Genomic DNA, 5,066 nt, shown 5'->3' on the forward strand with positions numbered 1-5,066 from the left:
CTATTTTATATATGAGGAAACTGACACTGATTAACTTGGCCAAGATTACACAGGTAGGAACATATCCTGCTGATCTGGCCCCACTGGCAATGCACTTAGCCATTATCCTGTGCAACTTCTACTATCTTCAAATTATTCTGAAGAAAACCCAGGGGGAAATAGAGCTTTTTTAAATAGGCTGCTCTCATTGGATCCTGTATTCCTGCTATGACTTTTAGAGCACAGCTATGCCTTGATGAAAGTGGGAAGGGATTTCTATAAATGTCGTTTCTCTCGGGAAGGGTCTGGAGTCAGGTGGACCCGAGTGTTTAAATACACATCCTGCCTCTCATTAGCTTTGTTGCTGAGCACTTGCCTTTTCCAAGCCTCATTTTCTTCACATTAAATGTAGAGAAAAATGAGTATTTCATGGGGTTATTGTGAAGATTAAATAAAATATCTATCAGTAGTCCTACTATAATGCCTTTCAGAGAAGGAAATCCATACATGTGTTATTCATTCTCCTGCATATCAAACAGGATCCCAAAGTCTATTGTGGTGTAGACTTTGCCCAGTGGGCACTGATTGGAATGTCTAACTGGTCTCCACTTTCTGGCCACTCTTTCACTCAAGTCTCTTCAATTTTTCATCAAAACACTGACCATCTTTTATCAAGTTCTACCATGTTCCATTTGTTTACAATTTTTACCGAGAACCATAGAGACATGAAATTGAGGGTTTAAGTTAATGGTAGGGCTCAGAGCCAAAGTCAACAGACTCAGGAAGAGCTTTGTTTCTTTCTTTAGATTTATCTTTTATTCCTTTTTCTACTTATAAAGAAATTGTTGTTCTTCTCATTAGCTTGCTTAAGGCTCACCCTCGTTGCTTTCTGTTGCTTGCAAACCAAGAACTCCAAGAGGCTCTTCTTAGCCCCTGAAAACTGCCACTTCCACTAACACCCAGAACAAAGAATCTGGATAATCATCTTAAACATGAACACCATTGATGATGTTTACTAAGATGAGGTATGATCACTTAGTTTTCTCCCCTTAATGTAACTATATCTCAATTCTTTATTTTAGAGATTTGAAGAATGTGTTTCATAAGACACCTTATCAAGCAGAGATTAATTCTTCTATAACATCATGACATTTATAGGTCATCCATTATTACTTATGGGAAATAACGAGACTTAAGTTTGCATATATGTCTTATTCCACTACCATCTTGAAAACAATGGATGCAGGGCAGATGAACCCGAAAGTTGAGCTTAGCCAGTGAGGGTTCTTGGCTTTGCGCAGGAAAGAATTCAAAGGCGAGCCATAGATAGAAGAAAATAGCTTTGTTGAAGGGGCAGTGTTACTGCTCTGTGACTGCTCTTGAAGAGCAGGGATACTCCATGAGCACAGAGTAGCAGCTCAGGGCAATTTTCTAGTCACATTTATACCTACTTTTAATTGCATGCAGATTTCAGTTCATCCAGAAATTTCTAGGAAAGGAGTAGGAATCATTGTGTTATTGCCATGGAAAAGGATGGTAATGCCCACGTGTTGCCATGACAACGGTAAATTGACATGGCACACTGGTGGGCATATTTGTCTGAAAGATACTTTTATCCTGGTCCTGTTTTAGCTAGTCCTCATTCTGGTTCGCTGAGTCCTGGCTCTGGAGTCAAGTCATGCCTCCTACCTCATAACTGGTAGGAAAAATTAAAAGGAAAATACTTTTGAATTGATAAAGTACTCAGGAAAAGATCAAGCATTCTGAGTATATTCACCGCATTCTAAAATGGACTTGTAATTGGGTACAGTGTTTACTGCTCCGGTGATGGGTGCACCAAAATCTCAGAAATCACCACTAAAGGACTTATTCATGTAACTAAACACCACCAGTTCCCCCCAAAACCTATGGAAATAAAACATAAAAAATAAAATAAAAGACTTGTAAGATGCAATACAAATACTTAGGTCAAAGAATATAAATATACTTGTTTTCTCTTGTTGATATGGAATTTTCTTAAGTTTTAACTTTTGGTTTTTCTCGCAAAGTCATTTTGCATATCTGTCATAATGTAATAATGTCTTTAAAACAGGTATTTAAACTCTTAACTTCCAAAAAAAAATTAAAAGATCTTAGATTTATGGTGCTATATCTGTCAGGCCTTCAGGATTCCAACCATATACAGAAATTTTGGTCTCTTCCAGACTGGATGTGAGCTCTAGGACCAGGGGCTGAGTGAAAGCCGTGGCTTCTAGCCAATGACAACAAAATGCAAGGTTCACTGGCATTGTGTTTCCAAACAGAGCCAAGTTAAACTGCATTATTATACTGTTAGCAACAATACAACTTCCTAGAAAATTGCGTGTTTTGTTAATATAGGAACACGCTGGCAATTAGCAGATGTGCTTGATTTAAAATGGGAATGTGCTTATTCAGTGTAAATACTGTATGACACTCTTCTGTATCATTTCAGTTGCAGTTTCCTTGCATTGGAACATCTATCGGCAGGACAAGTTAATGACTGACAATATTGACAATATACACAATTAAATTGTGTAAGTAGAAACAAAATTTGTTTTGTTCGAATTAGAAAAGGCATCTCCATAATAAAATATGCCTACTTACAAGAGGAATAGCTTTGCCTTAAAAAAAAGAAAAAAAAAACGGGTAGACGGACAGTCTAGAAGTGAGCATTTTTCCACAGAGAATGAAAGGTGCACAGCAGTGAAGACGCTGACGCAGAAAGGACCACACCCACGACCTGAAAGGAGTAGAGTTGTTTTTCTTTTAAAGTTGCCTTTTAGATGAATACATTCAGTTTTCTGGCAAATGCCACGCCAGTATGTGAAAGAATCAAGTACGCATACTTGGGATCATCTAAATCTGATTTGTAGCAGCCCATGAATGCAAAGGAAAAATAAAAAGCTACCATGAAACTCCAAGCATATTCATTTTCCTCTTGGCTCTAATCCCTACAAGGAACACAGTAAAACCAGCACCAAGGGAGGGAGCTGAGGTCGCCCGGGCCTCAGGGGGCCGGGGCGCAGGGGCGCATGTGTCCCGCCAGGGCTCAGGGTGTGTGCACTGTGGGTCCCAGTTTCTGTCAGCTATGGAGAAGGACGGGGTGTTCTCCTGAGAACAAATGACAGCCCAGCTAGAGGCGGTCATCTCAGGACACCAACGGGCGCCCTGGGGTTTGCTCAGTGAGGTGCGTGGGGGCTGAGGCGGGTGCTGCCTGGGGCCTCTGGGCCAGGGCCGGTGAGGACCCCCAAGTCCCCCGAGACTGCACAGCAGGGGGCCAGCATGGCCGGGCTCCTCGCTGCCCACAGGGATTGAAGGCAGCTGTCACACAGCCTGTCTAAAATAACAACTGGTGACAGCGCCAGGGAAAGGCAATTTCCCTGCAGATAGAAAAAACCTGAAGCTGGTGATGAGCAGCTTCCTGATAAGATCTGGGGAGCTGGGTGAGTGGGTTCACACAAGCGCCCTAAGAGGCAAAATGCCGAAGTCCGAGATACGACCTTCCAGGGCACTCCAGGGGAAAGGGAGGAACCTGCCAGGTCAGCATGTGTACAACTCCAGTAATCACACTGGCCATGCTCCCCTCCCTAGCCTTAGCATCTCACCACGCAGGTGGGCAGCCCACCCCAAGGGAAGAATCAGCGGAGAAGGAGGCAAGACCCTAGAAGTGAGAAGTGACAATGTGCTAGCAGCCCTCGCTCGCTCTTGGTGCCTCCTCGGCCTAGGGGTCCACTCTGGCTGCACTTGAGGAGCCCTTCAGCCCGCCGCTGCCACTGTGGGAGACCCTCTCTGGGCTGGCCGAGGCCGGCTTCCTCTGCTTGTGGGGAGGTGTGGAGGGAGAGGCGTGGGTGGGAACTGGGGCTGCGCTTGGCGTGCTCCGGGTGGGCACTGGCTCTGTGGGCTCCGAGTGTGGGATTGCCAGCCGGCACCTCAGGCCCCACAGCTGTGAGGGGCTTAGCACCCGGCCAGCAGCTGTGGAGGGTGCACTGGGTCCTCCAGCAGTGCCAGGCCGCTGTCGCCGCACTCGAATTCTCGCCGGGCCTCAGCTGCCTCCCCAGGGGGCAGGGCTCAGGATCTGCAGCCCGCCATGCCCGAGCCTCCCCCCTCAAACTGCCCCCACCGTGGGCTCCGCAGTGGCCTGAGCCTCCCCGATGGGCACCACGCCCTGCTCCGCGGCACCCAGTCCCATCCACTGCCCAAGGACTGAGGAATGTGGGGGGCAGAGAGCTGACAGCTCCGCCTGTGGCCGTGGTGAGGGATCCACTAGGCCAAGCCAGCTGGGCTCCTGAGTCTAGTGGGGTCTTGGAGAACTTTTATGTCTAGTTAGAGGATTGTAAATGCACCAATCAGCACTTTGGGTCTAAAGGTTTGTAAACACACCTATCAGTGCTCTGTGTCTAGCTAATGTAGTGGGGACTTGGAGAACTTTTATGTCTAGCTAGAGGATTGTAAATGTGCCAATCAGCACTCTCTATGTCTAGCTCAGGGATTGTAAATGCACCAATCAGCACTCTGTCAAAACGGACCAATCAGCTCTCTGTAAAACAGACCAATCAGCTCTCTGTAAAATGGACCAATCAGCTCTCTGTAAAGTGGGCCAATGGATAAGGGAATAAAAGCAGCCTGCCCCAACCAGTAGGGGCAACCTGCTGTGGTCCCCTTACATGTTGTAGAAGTTTTGTTCTTTTGCCCATTGCAATAAATCTTGGTGCTGCTGACTGTATGAGTTTGCACCGCCTTTATGAGCTGTAACACTCAACGCGAAGGTCTGCAGCTTCACTCCTGAAACCAGGGAGATCAAGAACCCACCAATTCTGGACACAGAAGCATGTCAACATGTAAAACCCAAGACAAAGGTCAAACCCTGCACTTGTCCTTTAAGTCTCCCGCTTGGGCTTCTTCCAAGTGTGCTTTCCTTCCTTTCATTCCTGCTCTAAAGCTTTTTAGTAAACTTTCCCTCCTGTGCTAAAAGTTGCCTCTGAGGCACCTATTTTCCCTTTCTCTGAGGAGGCAAGAACTGAGGTTGCTGCATGTACAGATTCACCACCAATAAGAGAAGCAGTTGA

The 5,066-nt window shown here is 46.0% G+C and overlaps 1 annotated feature.

The window, feature by feature from the left end:
* Positions 4,033–4,533: an enhancer, noted in NCBI's record as "H3K27ac-H3K4me1 hESC enhancer chr2:4932007-4932507 (GRCh37/hg19 assembly coordinates)". NCBI's record gives its function as "activates a minimal SCP1, AML or CMV promoter by ChIP-STARR-seq in naive H9 embryonic stem cells {active_cell/tissue: H9 hESC(naive)}" and the evidence as "EXISTENCE:reporter gene assay evidence [ECO:0000049][PMID:30033119]".

The sequence above is a fragment of the Homo sapiens genome, chromosome 2 (genome assembly GCF_000001405.40).
Source record: "Homo sapiens chromosome 2, GRCh38.p14 Primary Assembly".
NCBI classification, from domain to species: domain Eukaryota; kingdom Metazoa; phylum Chordata; class Mammalia; order Primates; family Hominidae; genus Homo; species Homo sapiens.